A 25,879-nucleotide genomic window follows, 5' to 3' on the forward strand; every position below is an offset into this window, starting at 1 on the left:
GCTAGAAAGATATATTGCTCAAGTTAGATGCTCTGTGGTTGCTTTAATGCTCATATGAAAAAAAATTAATGACTGATATGAGCATTTGGTTAACACTTAAGACTTGAAATGTTGCTGCCATGTTCTGTACCTGTGCTATTCAATATGGTAGCCACTAGCCACATGTGACTATTGAGCCTCTGACTTGTGGCTAGTTTGACTGAAGAATTGAATTTTAAATTTTATCTGATTTAAAATAACTTAAGTTTAAATAACCATGTAGATAACACAAATATAGAATGCTTCTGTAATATAAAAAGTGCTACTGGATAGCACTATTCTACAAAAATGCTCATAAATATTAGTTATTATTTAGAACTATGCTGTCTGATATGTAGCCGTTGGTTATATGTAGCCATTGAACACCTGAAATGTGGTTATTCTGAATTGAGAAATGCTGTCAGTATAAAATACATTAGATTTCAAAGGCATAGCAGGAAAAAATGTCTTAATAATTTTTATACTGATAATCATAGTAGGTAGAATAATGGCCCACTGAAGATCTCCATGTACACATCTTGAAAACCTGTGAATATGTTTCATATATTACATGGCGAAGGGGAATCAAGGCTGTAGATGGAATTAAGGTGGCTAATCAGCTGACCTTATAACAGTGAGAATATGCTGGATTATCTGAGTAGGCCCAATACAACCACAAGAGTCCTTAACAGTAGAAAAGAAGATGTGACTACAGAAAAAAGACATAGAGGCTGGGCACCATGGCTCACACCTGTAATCCTAGTACTTTGGGAAGCCGAGGTGGAAGGATCACTTTAGCCCAGATGTTTAAGACCCTGTCTCTCCAGAAAATTTTTTTTAATTAGCTGGGCATGGGGCTGGGTGCGGTGGCTCACACCTGTAACCCCAGCATTTTGGGAGGCCAAGGCGGGCGGATTGCAAGGTCAGGAGATCAAGACCATCCTGGCTAACACGGTGAAACCCCATCTCTACTAAAAATACAAAATTTAGCCTGGCGTAGTGGCAGTGTCTGTAGTCCCAGCTCCTCGGGAGGCTGAGGCAGCAGAATGGTGTGAACCCGGGAGGCAGAGCTTGCAGTAAGCCAAGATCGTGCCACTGCACTGCAGCCTGGGCGACAGAGCAAGACTCCGTCTCAAAAAAAAAAAAAAAAAAAAAATTAGCTGAGTATGGTGGTGCCCACCTGTAGTCCCAGCTTCTCAGCAGACTGAAGTGAGAGTATCACTTGAGCCCAGAAGGTTGAGGCTGCAGTGAGCCGTGATTGTGTCGCTGCACTCCAGCCTGGGTGACAGAGACAGACCCTGCCCCAAAAAAGAAAAAAGACACAGAGATGCAACATTATTGGCTTTGAAGATAGAAGAAGGGGGCCTCTAAGAAGCTGAAAAATACAAGGTAATGTATTCTCCCCTAGAACTTTAGAATAGAATGCAGTCCTGCTGACACTTTGGTTTTTGCCCAGTGAGACCTATATTGGACTTCTGACCTATATAAATATGAATGAATAAATGAATGGGCCATGCGTGGTGGCTCATGCCTGTAATCCCAGCACTTTGGGAGGCCCAGGCAGGTGGACCACTTGGATCACTTCAGACCAAAGAGTTTAAGACTAGCCTGGGCAACATGGTGAGATCTTGTCTCTACCAAAAAAAAAAAAGAAAACATTAGCCAGGCATGGTGGCGCGTGCCTATACTTGGGAGGCTTGAGATGGGAGGATCGCTTGAGCCTGGAAGATTGAGGCTGCAGTGAGCCATGATCATGCCATTGCACTCCGGCCTGGGCAACAGTGTGAGACCCTGTCTCCAAAATAACAAACTAAAACAAAAAAGCCCAAATGAATAAACAAATAAGTTTGTTTTAAGCTACTGTTAGTAGTAATTTGTTACAGCAGTAAAGAGACAATGAATAAAATAATATTAAATAATATCTCATATATAGTGACTTAAGTAAAATATAATGTTGAAGTTGATTTCACCTGTTTCTTTTTACTTTAAAAAATATGGGTACTAACTCATATGTTCATCACAGCACTACTCACAATAGCAAAGACATGGAATCAATCTAGGTATCCATCAAAGGTGAAGTGGATAAAGAAAATGTGGTACATATACACCATGGAATACTCACAGCCATAAAAAAGAGTGAAATTGCACCTAGCTCCTTAGGTGGAGCCATGGTTGATGGACAGTCAGCTTTTGCCAATGAGACCCTCAGTAAGGCTCCTGGCATGAATGCTATAGACCAAGGGATGGCAGCACTGAAGTTGGGTAGCACAGAAGTTGCAAGCAATGTTCCAAAAGTTGTAGGTTCTGCTGTTGGTAGCGGGTCCATTACTAGTAACATCATGCTTCCAATAGTTTGCCTCCAGCCACCATTGCTCTCCAAAACCAGCATCTTGGGCTGATATTGCTAGCAAGCCTGCAAAACAGCAACCTAAACCGAAGACCAAGAATGGCATGCAGGGTCAAGTCTTCCGCCACCCCCGATAAAGCATAACATGGATATTGGAACTTGGGATAACAAGGGTCCATTGCAAAAGCCCCCTTACAGGCTTTGGTTCAGAATATAGGTCAGCCAACCCAGGGGTCTCCTCAGCCTGCAGGTCAGCAGGCTAACAATAGCCCACCAGTGGCTCAGGCATCAGTAGGGCAACAGACACAGCCATTGCCTCCACCTCCACCACAGCCTGCCCAGCTTTCAGTCCAGCAACAGGCAGCTCAGCCAACCCGCTGGGTAGCACCTCGGAACCATGGCAGTGGGTTCGGTCATAATGGGATGGATGGTAACGGAGTAGGACAGTCTCAGGCTGGTTCTGGATCTACTCCTTCAGAACCCCACCCTGTGTTGGAGAAGCTTCGGTCCATTAATAACTATAACCCCAAAGATTTTGACTGGAATTTGAAACATGGCCGGGTTTTCATCATTAAGAGCTACTCTGAGGACGATATTCACCGTTTCACTAAGTATAATATTTGGTGCAGCACAGAACATGGTAACAAGAGACTGGATGCTGCTTATCGTTCCATGAACGGGAAAGGCTCCTTTTACTTACTTTTCAGTGTCAACAGCCGTGGACACTTCTGTGGCGCTGCAGAAATGAAATCTGCTGTGGACTACAACACATGTGCAGGTGTGTGGTCCCAGGACAAATGGAAGGGTCGTTTTGATGTCAGGTGGATTTTTGTGAAGGACATTCCCAATAGCCAACTGCGACACATTCGCCTAGAGAACAATGAGAATAAACCAGTGACCAACTCTAGGGACACTCAGGAAGTGCCTCTGGAAAAGGCTAAGCAGGTGTTGAAAATTATAGCCAGCTACAAGCACACCACTTCCATTTTTGATGACTTCTCACACTATGGGAAACGCCAAGAGGAAGAAGAAAGTGTTAAAAAGGAACGTCAAGGTCATGGGAAATAAAAGGCAGTTCTACACAGACTGCAGCAACGGTTGCATCTGCATATCCTAAGAGGAAAAAATGACCTTCAAGAGAATTAGGACTTTTTTCTTAATTTCACTGACTTCAGCGACGATTGCAGACTTGCAGTTTAAGTATTGGAATTTCACAAAAGACATAGGACTTAACTGGAAAATGAAAAAAGAAAAAAGAAAAAGAAAAAACTAAACAAAAAATCCCTCTAGGTAGTTTAGGTGAAAAATGTCCCTTTTATTTTGGCTTTGGTTGTGATTTCAGAGCATAATGCTTTGTTTTTTTGTCTTTTTACTATGTTTTTCAGATTTTTAAGTCCGTAAGTGCATACAGTTTTCTCTAATTTTTAAACCCTTTCCTCCTCCCATTTTGACATTTGCACTTGGAGAACACTTGAGTTGTGAAGGTTTTGGGCATCCACCCCAGAAAGTGGGAATTTGATTTTATCCTTCCGAACTGGAAGAACATTTTTATGAAGAATTTTTGTCTAGGAGAATATAACAGTGTTACCCAAGCTTGTGTCTTTAAGGGTGGTTCATTTTCTCTGATCTTTTGTTACTCAAAATAAAGTACTAGGAGTCCTAAGAAATGTTCTGTTCTTGTACATTCTACTGATTAAGTCAGGATTAATTTGATTTCAAAGCTAAGAACAGTGGTAAAAACTTGTTTACAGAAATGCATTTTGGAAGAGAAAAATACTGTAAAACGTGTAGTGAATGTTTCTTCAGTTTCTTGTTCAGCCAATGAGGAAAGGGCATTGCCTTTCTTTTTACCATTAATCACTTCTCAATAAATGTGAGATCCTGTTGAGCATTAAAAAAAAAAAAAGTGAAATCATGTCCTTTGTAGCAACATAGATGCGGCTGGAGGCCATTATCCTAAATGAATTAACACAGGAACAAAAAATCAAATACCGCATGTTCTCATATATAAGTAGGAGCCGCTACTTACAGGTACACATGAACATAAAGGTGGCAACAATAGGCACTGGGGACTGCTAGGGGGAGGAAAGAAGGAAGTGGGTGTATTAGCCCGTTCTCACGCTGCTGATAAAGACACACCCGAGAATGAGTAATTTATAAAGGAAAAAGGTTTAATTACCTCACAGTTCAGCACAGCTGGGAAGGCCTCAGGAAACTTACAATCATGGCAGAAGGGGAAGCAAACACATTCTTTTCATGTGGCAGTAGCAAGGGGAAGTGCCAAGCAAAAGAGTTTAAGCCCCTTGTAAAACCATCAGATCTCATGAGAACTCACTCACTGTCTTGAGGACAGCATGAGGGTAACCGCCCCCATGATTAAATTACCTCCTACTGGGTACCTCCATGACACGTGGGAATTATGGGAACTGCAGTTCAAGATGAAATTTGGGTGGACACAGCCCAACCATATCAGGGGGCAAGGGCTGAAAAACTACCTATTGGGTACTATGCTCACTACTTGGTTGATGAGATCATTCCTACCCCAAACCTCAGCATCACGCAATATACCCATGTGAGAAACCTGCACATGTTCCCCCACATCTAAAATAAAAGTTGAAGTTATTTTTTAAAAGAGCAGGGAAAAATTCCCCAGTGGTATGTTCCTAAGTTGTACAGCCAAAATTTATTATTTAAAAAATTACATGAAAAAAACCTGTATGCAAATATTTGTAGGGACTTTATCCATAATCACCGAAAACTGAAAATAACTCAAAAGTCTGTCAACTAGAGAATGGATGAACAAGCTGTTGTACATCCATACAAATGGACTACAGTTCAACAATAAAAAGGAAAAAACACACACAAAGTAAAATGTGACTACTAGAAAATTACATATGTGGCTCACTCTGTCTCTCTCTTTTTTTGTTGTTTTTGTTTTTTCTTTAGAGACGGGGTCTGGCTGTGTCACCCAGGATGGAGTGCAGTGGCACAATCGTAGCTCACTGCAGCCTCAATCTCCTAAGCTCAGGCAATCCTCCCACCTCAGCCTCTCAACACTCTCTATTTCTATCGGACAATGCTGACTTAGAAGTTTTTGGCTTGATCTTTTTGTGTTGGAGCAAAAGCAAAATTACTTTTTGAGAAGATTCTTGGGCTGTCTCCAAGTGCTCCTTTGGCTTACTTTCAAGGTGGAGTTGGGAAGTGACTTTCTATTTAGTCACTTGACCTCTTGAACTCCTTACCTTTCATAAGATAATATCAGTCTTACCTCTACTCTGCTAAGAGTTAAAAGTATATGATTCAGCACTTAACAGGCCATATAGAAAGTTACAGTCTACATATTGTCAGCGAACATGACCTCAGACTCACAGTTGTTTGTTCAGTACTTATCAATGTGAAAAAAATCACAGTTTAATGTTCATTTAAAGAAGTCATGGCCAGGTACAGCGGCTCATGCCTGTAATCCCAGTACTTTGGGAGGCCTAGGTGGGTGGATCAGTTGAGGTCAGGAGTTCAAGACCAGCCTGGCCAACATGGTGAAATACAAAAAATGCAAAAATAAAAAATAAAAATAAATAAATAAATAAATAAACAAATCCCAGCTACTTGGGAGGCTGAGGCAGAAGAATCGCTTGAACCTGGGAGGCAGAGGTTGCAGTGAGCTGAGATCGTGCCACTGCACTCCAGCCTGGGCACACCATGCAACTCCGTCTCAAAAACAAACAAACAAAAAAAACAAAAACAAAGTCATGAAAACTGCTGAAATTACAGAGGCAAGGATAAGCATTTCATGGCTTTGGCAGGCCTAGTTCAGAAATAATGGTAGATATTTGCATAAAGCCATACTATAGAGATTTTGTGGTAGAAGCATTTCCTCCTGGGCACACATATTTTTTAGCCTTTCTTACAGTTAGATTATAGCCACGTGACTGGGTTCTGTCTAGTGGGAGTTGGCAGAGGGAATGTACTTTCAGACCTGACCATAAAATTCCATGCGTGATTGTCTACACATCCTGTTTTGCTTCTGTGATGACCTCGGGGGCCACATGCTGAAGATGGCAAAGTCACAAAATGGAAGGACTCCAGATCCCTGAGTTACCAAAGGAAAGAAAGTCAACAAGGAAAGTTGCATGACTGACTTTGTGAGTGAGAAGTAAGCCATTGTTATTTTAAGTCACAGAGATTTTGTTGTTTGTTATCACAGCATATCTTAGCTTACACTAACTAATATATTTCTATTTAAAAATGACTTTTAGTGTGGTGCGGTGGCTCACGCCTGTAATCCCAGCACTTTGGGAGGCCGCGGTGGGCAGATCACTTGAGGTCAGGAGTTTGAGACCAGCCTGGGCAACATAGTGAAACCCCGTCTCTATTAAAAATACAAAAATTAGCCAGGTGTGGTGGTGCATACCTGTAATCCCAGCTACTCAGGAGGCCAAGGCAGGAGAACTGCATGAACCCAGGAGGTGGAGGTTGCAGTAAGCCGAGATTACACCACTGCACTGTAGCCTGGATGACAGAGCAAGACCCCATTTCAAAAAAAAAAAAAAAAAAAAAGACTTTTAGGGCTGGGCGCCTAAAATTACATGCCTGTAATCCCAGCTCTTTGGGAGACTGAGGCGGGTGTATTGCTTGAGCCCAGGAGTTCGAGACCAGCCTGGGCAACATGACAAAACCCTGTCTCTACTAAAAATACATAAAATTAGTGGGCTGTGGTGGTGCACGCCTGTAATCCCAGCTGCTTGGGAAGCTGAGGCACGATAATTGCTTGAACCCGGGAGATGGAGGTTGCAGTGGGCCGAGATCACACCACTGCACTCCAGCCTGGGGTACAAAGCAAGACTCGGTCTCAAATAAATAAATAAGACTTTTAGGCTGCATCTGTAATTCCAGCACTTTGGGAGGCTGAGGTGGGTGGATCTCTTGAATCCAGGAGTTTGAGGCCAGCCTGGGTAACATGGCGAAACCCTTTCTCTATCATAAAAATACAAAAATTAGCTGGGTGTGGTGGCACGTGTCTGTAGTCCCAACTACTCAGGAGGCTGAAGTGAGAGGATCACTTGGGCCCAGAAGGTGGAGGCTGCAATGAGCCAAGGTTGCAAAACTGTACTACAGCCTGGGCAACAAAGCCAGACTCTGTCTCAAAATAATAATAATAATAAAAGTGCAAGTAAATAAATAAATAAATAAATGACTTTTTAGGAGTTGTTTATTTCTGGAACTCATAGGTAAATTTATCTCCAATTACCTTTTTTTTTTTTTTTTTTTTTTTGAGATAGTGTCTCACTCTGTTGCCCAGGCATGGAATGCTGTAGCACAATCATGGCTCACCACAGCCTTGACCTCCCAGGCTCAAGTGATCCTCCCACCTCAGCCTCCAAGTATCTGAGACTACAGGCATGTGCCACCACACATGGTAATTTTTTATTTTTTGTAGGGATGGGGCCTTGCTATGTTGCCCAGGCTGATCTCAAACTCCTGGGCTCAAGCGATCTGGCCTGCCTCAGCCTCCCAAAGTGCTGGGATTACAGGCCTGAGCCACTGTCCAATTACTCATAATTGTTATAATTTGCAAAGTACATATGCCCATCATCCAACATGTAAACAGTTCTTGAAATATATCTAATGCAAAAATATGGAAAGAGTTCTTGTGTCCTAGGGAGCTGGTGTGATGCCTCCTAAATTCGTATGAGAGAGGATCAATCAATTTTGTTATAGTTCTGTGAAGTAGTAGTTTAGTACTCTACCTCAAACGGAATACTTACAAATTCCAAACAAACAAAAAGACGTCTCTTTTCCTGTTTCTATTTATAATTTCAGGGTCTTAGCATTTTCCCAAATAGAAAGTGCTTCTTCAACTGAGTTTTGATTATCTCTAACTGTGCTCCCAGATTCTTCTGGGTAGCCACATTGTTAAATCAGAGCATTTCTGGATATTTTGGAAGCTTGAAGAATAAAGGCAAATCTGTGTTGTTTTTGCTTTGTTTATTGTTTTCATTGTTTCGCATATTTATTCTTTAACCAATAAGAATTTTAATTATAAATCACAGCTGACTCTATTACTGCAGCTTTCCATAGTCTATACAGTATTTACACTATGACAAGTTGATGAGTCTATTCTTTAAAAATTATTTTGGAAATACATGAATACTACTACATATTCTGTGGTGAAAAAAAAAACACACCCAAATAAAACTCATCTTTATATTTTTATCACCTGACTATAGTGATATCAAATAACATTTGATCCGGAATCTTAGGTTCATACCAGTGCTACCAGTGCTTCACAAAGCCAAACTTATACTTTTTTGAAGGGGAAGGTGGGAATAAAGGCTGTGAAGAATGATAATCAAACAGAAGTCATCTCTACAGCAATGAATTAATTGCCCAAGACTTTAGAGGGATATCTTCATACTTTGTCTTGTCGAGCTGAGTTACTGAATCATGCACTTCACAGCTATATACTAGTGGCAATATCATGGTCTTCAGATATGATTTTTTTTTTTTTTGGAGACAGTCTTGCTCTGTCGCCCAGGCTGGAGTGCAGTGGCGCCATCTCGGCTCACTGAACCTCCGCCTTCCGGGTTAAAGCAATTTTCATGCTTCAGCCTCCCGTGTAGCTGGGACTGCAGGCATGCACCACCATGTCCAGCTAATTTTTTGTATTTTTAGTAGAGATGGGGTTTCACCATGTTGGCCAGGCTAGTCTCGAACTCCTGACCTCAGGTGATCTGCCCTCTTTGGTCTCCCAAAGTGCTGGGATTACAGGACAGTTGTGCTGTTTCTAATAATGCACATGCTTAAAAACATAAGAGGACTAGTCACAAGGGCTTTTAATCCTGAAAGGTACAAAATTTCTACCCTGTGGCCTTTGGGAATGAGATCTTGAGAAAAAAGTATTGGAAGTTATAATAGAATCAAGCCTAGGCATAATATGTAATGGTTATAACATGAATTTTGACTTCTCTGATTATTTGCAGGAAATTTTAAATCCTAGCCAATTTCCCTTGCTCCCAGGAATACCTTCGAGCTGGTCCTTCTTGTCATCAGTTTGCGTTTGCACAGAGAAATAAAAATTCATTTTAATATAAGTTTAAGAAATATGTTACTGGAAAAGTAATGAGTTATTTCTCAGGATTTCATCGTATGTTCCAAATCCAAATATAAATTAATCAATTATTTTTATTGTTAATGAGGTTAACTGAGAGTTAATATTGATGCTTTTCCAGTCATAGAAGACTGCTAAATGCAGAGGGAAAACTTGTGTAGAAGAAAAAAATTATTAGGAATAGTAAAGTTAATATAACAGTGGAGACCCTCTGGAGTCTCCTTCAGAGATATTAGAGTGAATATCAGTTTTGAAGTGAACAAGAACATAATTAACAAGCTTTTAAATTTATATGTAGGAAGAGAATTTGTCATTCTTAAACCGACTACAATAATCACAGTGTTCAGATAATTCCAGAAACTCCTGACATAGCGTGGCTTGTAAAGAGGAATTTCCAATCTCTCTTTCACCACATTGTAGGAGATGAAGAAGCAAAGCATAATCCCACAGGACCTGGGAAGAAATTATAATTTGTGGTGTACAGTCAACTGCTCAGATTGACTGGCCAGGATGACATCATGGCATGGATCTCAACTAGCAATCTTGCCCCATGGAAGTTTTGTAAGGCAGTAAAAATTGCCTTGGATCCTGATGATTTCATATAAAGTAAAATATTACTTGGTGGAGGAAACATATACTTAAGAAGGTTGTTTTGTGACATCTCGTAATGAAAAATGTAGGCTCATACACATAAATTGTAAATAGTGTTTGAAAATATTTTGAGTCTTGAGGAAACGTAAAATAAACTCTTAGGTAATAGTAATAAAAAATGCTTGAGGCATTTGTTATGTGATTGCCTTTTATGCAGCTATTGTGAGATGAAGTTGTGGTTACTCCTGAGTGTAAAAGGATGGGTGTATTTAGTAGTATAATCATAGAGGGTTTAGTGGAGTACATTTTTATTGGTGGCCAAAGCATTGGAAAGCACCTTCTCAAATGATTTTTTGTTATCATCAGTAGTATCTTGTTTTTTGTTTTTGTTTTTTTTTTGAGACAGAGTCTCGCTTTGTTGCCCAGGCTGCAGTGCAGTGGCACGATCTCAGCTCACTGCAAGCTCTGCCTCCTGGGTTCATGCCATTCTCCTGCCTCAGCCTCCCAAGTAGCTGGGACTACAGGTGCCCGCCACCATGCCCGGCAAATTTTTTGTATTTTTAGTACAGATGGGGTTTCACCATGTTAGCCAGGATGGTCTCGATCTCCTGACCTCGTGATCTGCCCGCCTCGGCCTCCCAAAGTGCTGGGATTACAGGCGTGAGCCACTGCGCCCCGGCCCATCAGTAGTATCTTGTTAATCAGTAAGAGTTTGATGAATTAAAATAATATCATACACTCAAGACAAAAAAGAATTAAAACTGAGAAATATTGTGTGCTGTTGCAACATAAGAAAGGAGATGATAAAGCCTATTACCTCATTTAAAAATGACGTCACGCTTATATTTGAGGTTAGTCAGAGGGTACATTTTGTTGTCGCTTTTAAAACTAGGTAGGCTTGTGTCTAGTGGGTCATTGAGTGTTATCCTCTAGACATAGGTTTAATGGAAGATATTAATAACCATGAGTGCTTGAATAAGAGCACCACCTGCTGAATCCACTCCATCTCCCTTCTCGTCTGCTCCGTGAAGCCACCTGGGGAGGTGAAGCCAGTATTCACAGTCCAGAGCCCCACTGTACCCTCCCACCTCATTCCGCCCTCACCAGAGGCTGCAGAGACTGAGGCTTCTGTTGTTCCTCCCTTCCTCACCTTCCTCTTCTCTCTTCTCTTCTCTTCCTCACGGTCTTCTCTTCCCTACCCATTGCCCCTCTCTGCCATGACTTTATTGGAGAAGCCTAGTTGGAGGACAGTTACGTAAAAGCAGACAGACAGTTACCTGGCAATGTATTAGGACCAGAATGAGTCATGGAAATTATTTTCATGAGAAATAACATTTTAAAAAGCAGTTACTTTGTTTTAAAATGTATTTTATCACATTTGAGGCTTCCAATAATTTGTTTTTCTTTTGCATTTTTTTGTACCCTCAATGTCAGATTCATGTGATTGATCTGATTCTTCACTAATGACAAAAAGCCACCAAGATACATCTATTTAAGCTTTCTCGCTTTTGAACTGGTGGAAAGGCTCAAAGGTAACCTTTATTGGAGCGTTATCTTGCAGAGATGAAGAAACAAATATTTGTTTATTTTGCTTTCAATGATCTTATATATTGTTTCTATTCTGCTAAAGGATTAATAAGCCTTATGAAGAGAATCAGCAAAGTAAGAATTCTCCACATAATTCAGATACGTTTTCAACTTAAATGTTAACTTTAAAATGACTTCGGGTTGGCCACGGTGGCTTGCGCCTGTAATCCCAGCACTTTGGGAGGCCGAGGCAGGTGGATCACTTGAGGTCAGGAGTTCAAGACCAGCCTGGCCAACATGGTGAAACTCCATCTCTACTAAAATAAAAATTATCCAGACATGGTGGCGTCTGCCTGTAGTCGTAGCTACTCAGGAGGCTGAGGCAGGAAAATTGCTTGAACCCGAGAGGAGGAGGTTGCAGTGAGCTGAGGTTGTGCCACTGTACTCCAGCCTGGGCTACAGAGTGAGACTCCACCTCCAAAAAATAATAATAATAATAATGACTTTGAACTGTTCTGTATGGTATAGTGGTAGTGGGTGCATGACTATGCATTTGTCAAAACCCATAGAACTGTATACTTATACTTACACCACAAAGAGTTAATTTTACCATGTGCAAATATAAGAAAATCAACTAGAATGGCAGGAGGACCCCAAGATGGAATGTACTTTGAAGCTACAAGAGGCTAAGTAGTTTGCCAAGACTTAGCATGAGTTCACTGGCAGAGGGGTTGTTTATTTCTATGTCCCAGGGAAGTCTGAAGAAGGGAGAGAGAGACAAAAAAAAAAAAAAAAAAAGAAGAAGGAAAATAATAGTATCAGATCAAGATTTTTTTAGGGTTTTTTTTTGAGAGAGTTTCACTCTGTCACTGTGGCTGGAGTGTAGTGATGCAAGCAGGGCTCACTGCAACCTCCACCTCCCAGACTCAAGCAATCCTCCCACCTCAGACTCCTGAGTAGCTGGGACTACAGGTAGGTGCCATCATGCCTAGCTAATTTTTATTTATTTTTTTATGGTTTTTTTTTTTTTTTTTTTTGTAGAGACAGGGTATTGCTGTGTTGCTTAGGCTGGTTTTGAACTCTGGGCTCAAGCATTCCTCCTGCCTCCCAACGTGCTGGGATTACAGGCATTAGCCACCGCGCCCGGCTTTCAAGGTGTTTTTATTTTGTACATCTTTGAAAGAAATGGATAAAATAAATAATCATAAAGAACTTATCTATTCATTTTCATGTAGAAATTTTATGCAATACATGCTTTTAAAAATATAATTATTGGCCTGGTGTGGTGGATCACACCTGTAATCCCAGCACTTTGGGAGGCCGAGGCAGGAGGATCACGAGGTCACAAGTTCGAGACCAGCCTGGCCAAGATGGTGAAACCCCGTCTCTACTAAAAAAAAACAAAAAAAAAACAAAAAAAATTAGCTGGGCATATTCTTGGGCGCCTGTAATCCCAGCTACTCGGGAGGCCGAGGCAGGAGAATCACTTGAACCTGGGAGGCGGGGGTTGCAGTGAGCTGCGATCATGCCACTGCACTCTAGCCTAAGTGACACAGCAAGACTCTGTCTCAAAAAAAAAAAAAGTACATATATATATATATAATTATTTGGGGGAGGCGTAAATATTAAATTACTGACTTTTTTGTGAGTAAATTAATTTTTTTCTTAAAGAAACTTTGGAGCACAAGGTATCTAGTACTGTGGGCACCAAAAAGGCAAGAGGGAGGAAAGGATACATAAATGAGAAAGGGATGGCTACAGGGAGTGAAGGAGGATGATTCGGGAGAGAATGGTGTAAGAGTATCTTAAATTGGCCCTTCTGAGTTCTTTTTTTTTTTTTTTTGAGATGGAGTTTCGCTTTTGTCATCCATGCTGGATTGTAATGGCATGATCTTGGCTCACTGCAACCTCCGCCTCCCAAGTTTAAGTGATTCTCCTGCCTCAGCCTCCTGAGTAGCTGGGATTACAGGCACGCACCACCATGCCCAACTAATTTTTGTATTTTTAGTAGACGGGGTTTCGCCATGTTGGCTAAGCTGGTATCCAACTCCTGTGCTCAAGTGATCCACCTGCCTTGGCCTCTCAAAGTGTTGGGATTACAGGCATGAGCCACTGCCCCCAGCCCATCTGAGTTCTTTATAGACATCTAGGCTATTGATGATTGGGAATTAGTAGGAATATTAAATATTTCTAAGCTGTTGCTCATTAACCTATTCATATACAGGAACCTGTAACATCCTTGAAGTACTTGGGAATCCAAAGACTTTTCTTAGCTTTGCATGCTGGATATTTGGACTTTTACTGCTACTGCTAATATCAATCCAGTGACAAAGATGAATATGGGAAAAGCTAGATCTGATTGAAAAAAATTAATCAAAAGATATAATTGAATTTTTTTTTGAAATGAGAGAGAGCAGTTGAGCTACCCAACTCAGTACAGAATTTCATTTAGTCATGAGGTATGACTTCTTGAAAAGGAATCACTTTATTTATTCATTCATGCATGTATTCATTCATTCAGTAAAAAATTATTGAGCGATATATTTATTAAGTAATTTTTTTTTTTGAGACAGAGTTTTGCTCTTGTTGCCCAGGCTAGAGTGCAGTGGTGCAATCTCAGCTCACTGCAACCTCCGCCTTCCAGTTTCAAGCAATTCTCCTGCCTCAGCCTCCCAAGCTGCTGGAATTACAGGTGCCCGCCACCACGCCCAGCTAATTTTTTTGTATTTTTAGTGGAGACGGGGTTTCACCATGTTGGTCAGGCTGGTCTCGAACTGCTGACCTCGTGATCCACCTGGCTTGGCCTCCCAAAGTGCTGGGATTACAGGCGTGAGCCACCATGCCCCACCCTATTTATTAAGTAATTTAACCTAAGAACCTAAGACACCTAAAGAATAAGTAGGAGTTACCAAAGCAAAAAAAAAAAAGTTATATGGTAAAAACACAAATCATATTTCTTCCTTAAAACTTCCTATGGCTTCCCATTGTACTTAGAATAAAACTCACACTCCACACTTCCACAGCAAAAAGTCCCTGCATGATTGGGTTCCTCCTGTCTGTGCCTCTTGCTTCATCCCCTATTACTCTTCACTTGCCTTGATGTTTCTTGAATATAAAGACCAAGTTCATTTCTACCTTAAGACAGAGTCGCCCATGCTGGAGTGCAAGTGGAGCAATCTCAGCTCACTGCAACCTCTGCCTCCCAGATTCAAGTGATTCTCCTGCCTCAGCCTCCTGAGTAGCTGGAATTATAGGCACACGCTCCATGCCCAGCTAATTTTTGTATTTTTTTTTTTTTTAAAGTAGAGACGAGGTTTCACCATGTTGGCCAGGCTCGTCTCAAACTCCTGATTTCAGGTAATCTACCCGCCTTGGCCTCCCAAAGTGCTGGGATTACAGGCGTGAGCCACTGCGCCCAGCCAAGGCCATTTTTTTCTGACATACTGTAATGCATTTGTATGCCTTCTTTATTTTTTCTTTAAATCTGGGGTAATGAAGCTTCAGACAATGAAGTATAACCTCCTCATTAATTCTTTCCTCCGCACAGTAATTCTGTCTCCCCACTCCTCCGTCTTAAGTCAAATGTCACTCCAGTGTTGCCTTCCAAGACAACCTTATCTAAGTAGACATTTTTCTCCATAATAACTTATCACTACCTGAAGTTATCTTGTTCATTTGTTTACTTGTTCTTGTCTGTCTCCCTTCATAAGCATGCAAGTTCTGTGAGAGCTGGAACTTTGTCCTGTTCATTCCTGTATCTCCAGTCCCTAGAAGAATGCCTGACACATCATAGGCATTCAACAAATAATACCTATCCTGGAAGGTGAGATTTGTATGCAAGATATTAAACTCACTTGTTCAAAGTTCGTGCTCAACAAACTTTAATTTTCCTTCCTGCCTATTGACGAGACTAATCAATTTGGTTCCCTGATCAGCAAAAATCACACACATATCTTGGATGTTAAGAATGCTGCATACTATTATTCTGAAACAACTTGTAAAGGAATAATGACAATGTGTGGGGGTATTCTCTTTTTGCTCTTCCTAATCCACTCTTCATTCTGCCATTCTGCTCGGTGTCCCTGGAACATAGACCTTTAGGACTGCTTCAGTGGGTTCCATTATTTGCCAGCATTTGGCTGGGTTTGGCAAGTGGGAGGCTCCATCCGGAGATCAGAAGGTGGGAGCAGGGTGAGGTTATCTTGACTGAGTTCCTTTACTGAAGACTTCAAGTTCCTGTTCAGCCGTCCTCTCCTAAGCTCTTTCCAGTCAGTGGTCACATTCCTGCCTGCCTGGGGATGTTACATCCTTTGTTGGTTTCCCTTAACCGTGTCCCCACCTTTGTAAATAGTCCTTTTATTAAATTCTCCTAAATCATTGAGGAGTGCTATCCCCTTAAAATTGAATGTCCATCTGTTTCCTGGTAAAATTCTTATTGATAGAGATACAATGGGAAAAAGTGGTAGAATTACAATGTGGTCTTCAACGACACAAAACAACAAACATAAGAAAAGCCATTGGTCGGGCGTGGTGGCTCATAACTGTAATCCCAGTGCTTTGGGAGGCCTAGGTGGGTGGATAACCTGAGGTCAGGAGGCCGAGACCAGCCTAGCCAACATGGCAAAACCCCGTCTCTACAAAAAAAATACAAAAATTAGCAAGACTCTGTCTCAAAATAAAAAAAAAAAAAAAAAAAAAAAAGGAAAGCCGTGGCGTGACTAGCACAGATGATGTGTCAAGTCAAAATGTGCATGTTCTGTCATCTCCTCTTTTTGTGCCTGTGAATCACCAGCTTCTGAGGTTAGGTCCTCTAGAAGCGGATGCTGAGATAGAGTTTGGGGTTCAAAGAATCAAACCTATGAAAGGAAGTGGCAGATAGCAGGATTGGGCAGAGTGGGAAGTCAAACTGCAATGCAGGCCCTGCAAAGACTCAGTCAACCCAACAGGAAGCTCTAGGTGAGAAATGCCCATCAGGTTGTCCCACATGAGGCTGAAATGACTCTGCCTTTGTACCCTCTTGTTTATTCACTAGATTCACTGGATCACCCAGGAAGGGGTGATCTTGGGTAAGGTCATATGCTAAATGATCCTGAAATGCAGGCTCTATTAGATTTTTTTGAAGAATATAAAAATCTTAGCTCTGAGAGAGCAGGCTTCCTACTGATCATTGTTTTTGGAAAACAAACAAACTTCCTTTACTTAGGACCTTGAAAGCAAAAGTCCTTCCTTCACTTTAGCTTGCTCAGGAGCTGGGTATTTGTCTCTGCGGGTGCTGGTATAGGTCTCTGCAGCTGAGGCAGGCCCTGACATAGCTGCCAGTGGAGGCTGTTTACTAACTGTACTCCCTGTAGGTGGGCAGAAAGTCCTATCTTGGCGAGCGGATGTGGAGGGCCATCTCCATCTCTTCCCCACAAGTCTAAAATCTTAATCTCTCCTGGGTCTTATCTCTCACTACACACACATCATACCATGGGAACTGTTTCCAAAGGCTCTATCCTCATCCATAGTAAAATCCCTCTAGATTAATCAGTTCTCCTTATCCCAATACCTTCTAATTAAATTTCTGTGTCTTATAAATTGCCAGAGTAACAGGCAGATGTTGGAGGAAATATGTTGCCACTTTAGGAAATCTGAGATACTAAGAGAGAAGACTGTACTATATATATAGTATCAGAAATAACATCACCAAGCGGTAGAAGGGCAGCATTCATGATTCTGTCTTTATATTCTCATGGAAAGGGTTGCTCTGTGATTCTATGTCTAGGTACTGAATATGTGTGGCTTTGAGGGTTCATTATTATTATTATTATTATTATTATTATTATTATTATTATTTTTGAGACGGACTCTCGCTCTGTCGCCCAGGCTGGAGTGCAGTGACAGTCATAACTCACTGCAGTTTTGAACCGCTGGATTCAAGAGATCCTCCTGCTTTAGCCTCCCAGGTAGCTAGGACTACAGCATGTGCCACTATATCTGGCTCATTTAATCTTTCTTTTTTTATAGAGATGTGATCTCCCTATGTTGCTCAGGCTGCCCAGGCTGGTCTCGAACTCCTGGGCTCAAGTGATTCTCCTGCTTTGGCCTCTCAAAGTGCTGGGGTTACAGGCATGAGCCGCCATGGCTGGCTGATGATTCATTCTTTGGCATTATGCAGTAAGTACTCTTACTTCCCATATGGTTTGTAAAGAATAGTATAGGCCTTCCAAATCAGTATTCCTGGCTGAGCTGTGTTACCATGACGCCTTCCTCAGTACTAACATTTAGCATTACATTTGATGAATTTGATATATTCTGCAAAATGCATCAGCAATTAGATAATATCTGGCTAAGTTAATATGACTATTTTTCATAGTGAAAGTCACACTTTAGTTTCTTTTAACCAAATGCTCTTGTCCCTTTCATGTGCCGTCTCCTCATCCAGTTTGTTAGAGATAGTTCATCAACATTGTGCTACCACATTTTCAGATATCTTGTTAAATTATAATTTAAATAATGATCTGAACATAAAATGAGATCATCTGAATGCATTAAGTAGCACGAGTGTGGGAGCATTTCTAATAGGAGCAAATCTCTCCAGACCGGCATCTTAGGCAAAAATTTTTCTTGACCGAAATCTCCCTCAGGCCAATGAATACCAAATTTAGATTTTGCTGGGCCCTTGCTGTTCTTAACTTAGAACATGATTAAGTCAATTACTTCTGAATTTATCCATAAATTCTTTATATTGTCTTTAATATTTAATACAAAAACAAAGAGAGTTAAACTACATTAATTACTAAATGTTCTTGATTTAATACTGGATTTGGTAATATAAAATATGCAAATAACCCTGAGCTAAATTTTGACGCTGAAGAGCTGATCCTTCTTTAAATGTCCTTAACAACACAGCTTGTAGATTTGCAAAGGTACTCAAGAAACTAACCTACATCTTTTCTAAAAAAATAGAGACAGGGTCTCACTCTGTCACGCAGGGTGGCATGCAGTGGTGTGACAATAGCTCACTCAGCCTCAAACTCCTGGGGTCAAGCAATCCTCCTGCCTCAGTCTCCCAAAGTGTTGGGATTACAGTTGTGAGGCACCTGGCCTAACCTACACCTTTTTGTGTATGTATGCATACAACTGTGCAGTGCTCTGTTGCAAGCCAAATTATCCTGAAATGCATGCTCTATCAGATTCTTTTGAAGGATATCAAAATCTTAGCTCTGAGAGAGCGGGCTTCCTACTGATCATTGTTTTTTGAAAACAAACCAACAAACAAACTTCCTTTACTTAGGATCTTGAAAGCAAAAGTCCTTCCTTCACTTTAGCTTGCTCGGGGGCTGGGTATTTGTCCTATTTGTGTCAGGCACTAGAGGGGAGTGTGACATCATACAAGTGCTGGGTTCTGACCTAAGAATCAGAAGACCAACTGTGTGCTCACTGATATGCCCAAATACAGTGAAAAAGTACAGCAAAGGAGGGCTTAGACAAATATTTTCCCAAGAATGAAATAGGACAACCATGGTTTCTGAAAATCGACTGAGACCTACAGTTTTACCCAAAAATTTCCAATGTGGGATTTTGATCCTTTTTGAGTGACGGTAACCTTCAAATGACTGGATTTTCATAGCTTTATTTTAGTATTTATTTATTTATTTTTTCATTATTGTTATTTTTTTGAGATGGACTCTCTCTCTGTTGCCCAGGCTGGAGTGCAGTGGCGCAATCTCAGCTCACTGTAACCTTTGCCTCCTGGGCTCAAGCGATTTTCCTACCTCAGCCTCCCAAGTAGCTGGGATTACAAGTGCCTGCCACAACACCTGGCTGATTTTTGTATTTTTAGTAGAGATGGGGTTTTACCATATTGGCCAGGCTGGTCTTGAACTCCTGACCTCAGGTGATCCTCCTGCCTTGGCTTTCCAAAGTGCTGGGATTACAGGTATGAGCCACCGGGCCCGGCTGATTTATTTTTTTATTTTTATTTTTTAATTTTATTTATTTATTTTTTTGAGACGGGGTCTCGCTCTGTCGCCCAGGCTAGAGTGCAGTGGCAAGATCTTGGCTCACTGCAAGCTCCGCCTCCCAGGTTCAGGCCATTCTCCTGCCTCAGCCTTCCGAGTAGCTGGGAATACAGGCGCCCGACACCACTCCTGGCTAATTTTTTGTATTTTTTAGTAGAGACGGGGTTTCACTGTGTTAGCCAGGATGGTCTCGATCTCCTGACTTCATGATCCACCCACCTCGGCCTTCCAAAGTGCTGGGATTACAGATGTGAGCCACCGCGCCCAGCTGATTTATTTTAAAATAATATACGGGCCAGGTGTGGTGACTCATGCTTGTAATCCCAGCACTTTGGGAGGCTGAAGCAGGAGGATTACTTGAGTCCAGGAGTTCAAGATCAGCCTGGCCAACACAGTGAGACCTCATCTCTACTAAAAATAAAATATTAGCCAGCTGTGTCCCGCATGCCTGTGGTTCAGCTACTCAGGAAGGGGAGGTGGAAGGATTGCTCAAGCCTGGGAGGCCCGCCTGGGCTAGAGTAAGACTCTGTCTCAAAAACAAAACAAAACTAAAAAAGACATATGCTTTCTTTTTTAAAAAAGAAAGCCAAACAATATAGGAAACTACAAAGAAGAAAATAAATACCAACGGAAATCACACTGTATACTTCTACCATGTGGGGGGGCACTTATTCAGATATCTCTCTTTCATTCTCTGTCCACTTAAAGAAATATGCATACAGTTTTTAAAGCATGGAGTAATACTCTACCTGCTGTTTCTGGAGTAGTATTGTTGTAGACAGAGTGACCTCTTTCAATGGCAGATGACTTGATTCTTGGTGGTAAAGCAAGTGGTTGGTTATAAGTATGGGGTCTCATTGTGCCTAGGTTAACATTTCTTTTCCACTCATATGTGCCATTGAGTAAGTGATTTAACCCATCTCTCTGTGCCTCAGTTTCCTTATACACAAAAGTGGGGACGATAATATTACCTACCTCAGAGAGTTGGTGTGAAGGTTATATCAGATCATATATTTAAGTACTTACTTAAGACAGTACCTGGAACATAGTAAGTACTTACTACATTTCAACTATTGTTCTTAACTAAATAAGTTTTAACTTCATAGTAACAATAAGGGGTTTTTAAATAGAAAAGTGGAATCTTTTTAAAAATACTTTTCACCATATTTCAAAGCCATTCTTTTAACATAAATTATTACTCTTTTTGCACACAGCTATATACGTTATCCACTGAAATTAGTATTTGCAGGTAACTACCCTTTTGCGGAGGCCTACTTAAAAACTATCCTGTTGAACACAAGGTACCTTTAAGTGAGACAGTTTTACATGGGCTTCCTTTATAACACATTAGTCCAACTAAAAATCCTTGTTAATTATTAAACCCTTAGGTATTACAGGAATACCTGACACTGCAGATTGAAAACAGACAGTGTTTGTCTCTCAAGTTAAACCAACAAGCCGATAGAAAAAGGTAGTTATCAAGAGATTTTTAAAACTTCAACCCTTTTTCTCTTATAGTTAGTGAAGAGAGTAGAATATCTCCAGTTTTGGCTGACATCTCTACAACCTGAACAATTGGCTTAAACTTCACTTGGGATTCCCGGTTGCTTGTTTTAGCATGGCAAAATTTGGCGTTCACAGAATCCTTCTTCTGGCTATTTCTCTGACAAAGTGTCTGGAGAGTACAAAACTGCTGGCAGACCTTAAAAAATGTGGTGACTTGGAATGTGAAGGTAAGTTTGCTTCCCCCGCTTCTTCTCCTCCTAAATTGAGGCTCTGCAATGACATAAAATCTTATTGTGGTCACGCATGATAAAAATGAGTATTGATACCATTGAGAAATATTTGGATTATGAAGTACAGCTTGGTATAAAAAAGAAATGTTGGAAGCAAAGCATTTTGTGGTAGTATTTAATACAAATATACAAATAGCAAAAATCAGTCTGCTATAGAAATATATCAGAAGTTAAAAAACTAGTCAGTCCTTTTACTATTTTTAAAGATTAATCTAGGAGTCTCTGAGCCTATTCTGGCTCAGAAGGCTGCCCATTAAAAAAAAAAGATAAATCTAATTGATTCATATAAAAAAAGACATCAGGCTAATTTGATAGGCCTTTATTTATGAAGGCCTTTTACTTTTTAGTTTCTGTTTCACACTCAGAACTTTCTGATTCTCATGACGTTCCTAAAAAGTGTTTTTATTTCAAACCATCATGATTTATTCTTCTAAACTTTACTAAATGTTAATCATTTCTGTGTTATTTATTATGTAAAAATACTGAAATCAGGACTAGAATATAAATTTTTTATTTATATCATTGAATATAAAGCTTTCTTTACTGTAAATGGAAATTAATTTCCATTCTATTGTTAAAGAACTTATTTCTGTTATTAGTTTTATGGTGCAAAATAAATTACATCCCAATATATTAGAGTTGCTTTAAATAAGTTATTTTTCCTTTTGTTTTTATTTTATAATAAATACATATTTTTTCTCTCTCAGCAGAATCAAAAATTGCTTTAAATAAATTCTACCTTTTTGGTTTTTTTTTTTTCTGAGATGGAGTCTTGCTCTGTCACCCAGGCTGGAGTGCAATGGCACGATCTCGGCTCACTGCAACTTCTGCCTCCCAGGTTCAAGCGATTCTCCTGTCTCAGCCTCCCAAGTTGCTGGGATTATAGGCGCACGCCACCACACCTGGTTAATTTTTTGTATTTTAGTAGAGATGGGATTTCACTGTGTTGCCCAGCCTGAGCTCAGGGAATCCACCTGCCTCAGCCTCCCAAAGTGCTAAGATTACAGGCATAAGCCACCATGCCCAGCTGTGAGAATTACTTCTAATTTGCAACATGAAAATGAAAAATGAAAAATGTTATTAGTATAAACATAAATAATTTATAAGTAATAATTATGAGTAAACATTCTTCCTTAACTTTTTGGACATATAATGTAATATATAGAGAAGTTTACTAGATGTTTTATTATCATAATAATCTTTTGCTGGGTGTGGTGGCTTGCACCTGTAATCCCAGCACTTTGAGAGACTGAGGTGGGAGGATCACTTGAGTCCAGAAGTTTGAGACCAGCCTGGGCAACATAGTGAGACCTCATCTCTACAAAAAATCAAAAAAGTTAGCTGGGCATGGTGGCACAAGCTATAGTCCCAGCTACTAGGGAGGCTGAGGTGGGAGGATGGCTTAAACTTGGGAGGTGGAGGCTGCAGTCAGCTATCATTATGCCACTGCACTGTAGCCTGGGCAACAGAACAAGACCCTGCCTCAAAAAAATATATATAAAGAAAAAAAAATTTTTCTTTCCCTCTTTATATTACAACTTCATTTTAGTTTCCTTAGGGCCAGATATAGAACATGAAAAGGGAACATTCAAATTTATAGAAATTTATAATGTTATTTTAACTTTAATTGCATGACAATAAAAATATCTTATTTTACATATGTTTGTATAATTATAATAGGTAATATGGTGTGTATATTCATGTGTTGAACTGCTGAATCTGGCATATGTGGCTGTGATTCGTTCATAGTTATTGAGGCCTACTACACGTTGGGTTGGGCGGGGGGCAGGTGCTATGCATGTAAGGGAAATCAGATGAGATGTAAGATAAGTTTCTTCCCCTTCAGAAAATTTAATTTTAGTGAAGGATGACAAGACAGGTTAAAATGAAACAGTAAATAGTGATGCAGCCTAGTAAGGATAATAGGCAATATTAAAGTTCAGAGAAAGGGCAATCGCAGTAGGCTGGAATAATCAGGCTGCTTCATAGAGGAAGCAGAACATGACTTAAGCATGAAGGGGGCAAAATGGTGTCTAGGTTGGGGAAAGGACAGAAAGAAAAGCTCAGAATAAGGAAGAGGATTTTGCAGTGAGAAGAACCTCAGGGCAAATTGGGCTCCACTAGGGCTATGTGACCAATTCTCTGAGCCTTCACTAAAGGCTCATTTATTAGACTGAGATGAAATTATTTACCTCATAGATCTGTTTTGAGGATTTAATAAAATAAAAATATGAGAGCACTTATCATAATGCCTAGAATATAGTAAGTGCCAGGAAGAAAACTGATTATCTTTTGTCCTTTCCTACAGACTAGAGAATGATAATGATATGTTCTAGGGACAATGGATAAACAAACTTGAGTGTAGCCAAGTCTGTGTGAAGGGATAGGAAGAGGTCCTTTCAAATAGAGAAAGGGGACCAGGTTATGGACAGCCTTGGATACCAGGCCCAGAGGCTTAGACTCGATTCTGCATGCAGTGGGAAGGCTATGTAGGTTTTTGAGGCCATAAATGATATAAAGAAATTAGCATTTGGAAACATATAGGATGGATTGAGGGACAGCAAGATGAAAGGAGGAGAAATATCATTTTAATTTAAAGTGTGTATTTTTCTTTACATGTTTTACATAGCTTTAATAAACAGAGTCTCAGCCATGAGAGATTATAGAGGACCTGACTGCCGATACCTGAACTTCACTAAGGGAGAAGAGATATCTGTTTATGTTAAACTTGCAGGAGAAAGGGAAGATTTGTGGGCAGGAAGTGTAAGTAACTACTTTTAAAAATTGAATGCAGAATAAATGACCAACTTGCACAAAGATTCCTTCCTTTTCTTTTCTTTTTTTTGGAAACAGGGCCTGGCTCTGTCGCCCAGGCTGGAATGCAGTGGTGTGATCACAGCTCACTACAACTTCCAGCTTCCAACTCCTGAGCTCAAGCCATCCTCCCACCTCAGCCTCCTGAGTAGCTGGGACTACAGGTGTGTGTCACCACGCCCGGCTAATTTTTGTATTCTTGGTAGAGACAGCATTTCACTCTGTTGCCCAGGCTGGTCACAAACCCCTGAGCTAAAGTAATCTGCCTGCTTCGGCCTCCCAAAGTGCCAGGATTACAGGTGTGAGCCACCGCACCCGCCCAAGGATACCTGCTTTTCATCTTTAAAGAAACGTTAAGAGTTTCAAAACACGGTGTATATATTAAGAACCCTTAATGTATTTAAACAAACAAAAATGATCATGTTCAGTGTTGGTTCCAATATTTCTATAAAAGAGGCTTTTTGGGAAGGCAGTATGGTTGGGATGGAGGGCTAAGAGAATGCCTTGAATTTATTTTTACATAGCATGCATTGTTTTTAAAATTATATTTTTATATTTATTTGGAGGGACTTCATATTATGGGATGGCTAGGCAACCCCAGTCATTTCTTGGTGCTGCCAATGGTCAAGGTTTTTGTTTGTTTGTTTTTTGAGACAAAGTCTCGCTCTTGTTGCCCAGGCTGGAGTGCAGTGGCGCGATCTCTGCTAACTGCAACCTCTGCCTCCCAGGTTCAAGCAACTCTCCTGCCTCAGCCTCCCGAATAGCTGGGATTACAGGCGTGTGCCACCATGCCCGGCTGCTTTTTGTATTTCTAGTAGAGATGGAGTTTCACCATGTTGGTCAGGCTGGTCTCAAACTCCTGACCTCAGGTGATCCACCCGCCTTGGCCTTCCAAAGAGCTGGGATTACAGGCGTGAGCCACTGCGCCCTGCCAATGGTCAAGTTTTAAAGAGACTGCAAAGTTTTAGTTAATCAGATTCAAAGACATGTGTTTCTGAGCAAATGAAGGGCTGAGTTGTTATTGAAGAGATCCCCAGAAAGGCTGGTAGCTAGGGAAGCTAGGTGTACAAGTTTTTTTTTTTTATTGAGACAGAGTCTCTCTGTCACCCAGACTGGAGTGCAGTGGCACGATTTCAGCTCACTGCAACCTCTACTTCCCGGGTTCAAGCTATTCTCGTGCCTCAGCCTCCCGAGTAGCTGGGATTACAGGTGTCTGCCACCACACCTGGCTAATTTTTGTATTTTTAGTAGTGACGGGGTTTCACCATGTTGGCCAGGCTGGTCTGGAACTCTTGACCTCAGGTGATCCACCTGCCTTGGCCTCCCAAAGGGCTGGGATTACAGGCGTGAGCCACTATGCCCGGCCCTAGGTGTATAAGTTTTTTATAGAAAAAAATAACAGCTTGGGCCAGGCTTGGTGGCTCATGCCTGTAATATCAGCACTTTGGGAAGCTAAAGTGGGCGGATCACTTGAGGCCAGGAGTTTGAGACCAGCTTGGACAACATGGCGAAACCTCATCTCTACTAAAAATATAAAAATTAGCCGGGTGTAGTAGTGCATGCCTGTAAAGCCAGTTACTTGAGAGGCTAAAGTGGGAGGATCGCTTGAGCCCAGAGGTAGAGGCTGCAGTGAACCATGATTGTACCACTGCACTCCAGCCTGGGTTACAAAGTG

General features: G+C 40.9%; 1 protein-coding gene and 1 pseudogene across 12 annotated transcripts in view, besides 1 other annotated feature; both read left to right on the plus strand.

Moving 5' to 3' along the window:
• Nucleotides 2,162-4,257, plus strand: YTHDF2P1 (YTH domain family member 2 pseudogene 1; annotated as a pseudogene).
• Nucleotides 19,988-20,167: an enhancer, noted in NCBI's record as "active region_8289". NCBI's record gives its function as "activates an Ori minimal core promoter by ATAC-STARR-seq in GM12878 lymphoblastoid cells {active_cell/tissue: GM12878}" and the evidence as "EXISTENCE:reporter gene assay evidence [ECO:0000049][PMID:35858748]".
• Nucleotides 21,013-25,879, plus strand: part of MIA2 (MIA SH3 domain ER export factor 2) — a 154,608-nt gene continuing 149,741 nt past the window's right edge. For 11 of the 12 annotated variants that reach the window (XM_024449592.2, XM_024449595.2, XM_024449594.2 and 8 more), the window contains exons 1-2: nt 21,013-21,327; nt 24,020-24,153. In XM_024449592.2, coding sequence (XP_024305360.1) covers nt 21,213-21,327; nt 24,020-24,153 — 249 coding nt within the window. In that variant the 5' untranslated portion in view covers nt 21,013-21,212. The remainder of the gene's footprint in view (nt 21,328-24,019; nt 24,154-25,879) is intronic. The other variant, XM_047431399.1, reaches the window with a different exon arrangement.

The sequence above is a fragment of the Homo sapiens genome, chromosome 14 (genome assembly GCF_000001405.40).
Source record: "Homo sapiens chromosome 14, GRCh38.p14 Primary Assembly".
Lineage (NCBI taxonomy): Eukaryota > Metazoa > Chordata > Mammalia > Primates > Hominidae > Homo > Homo sapiens.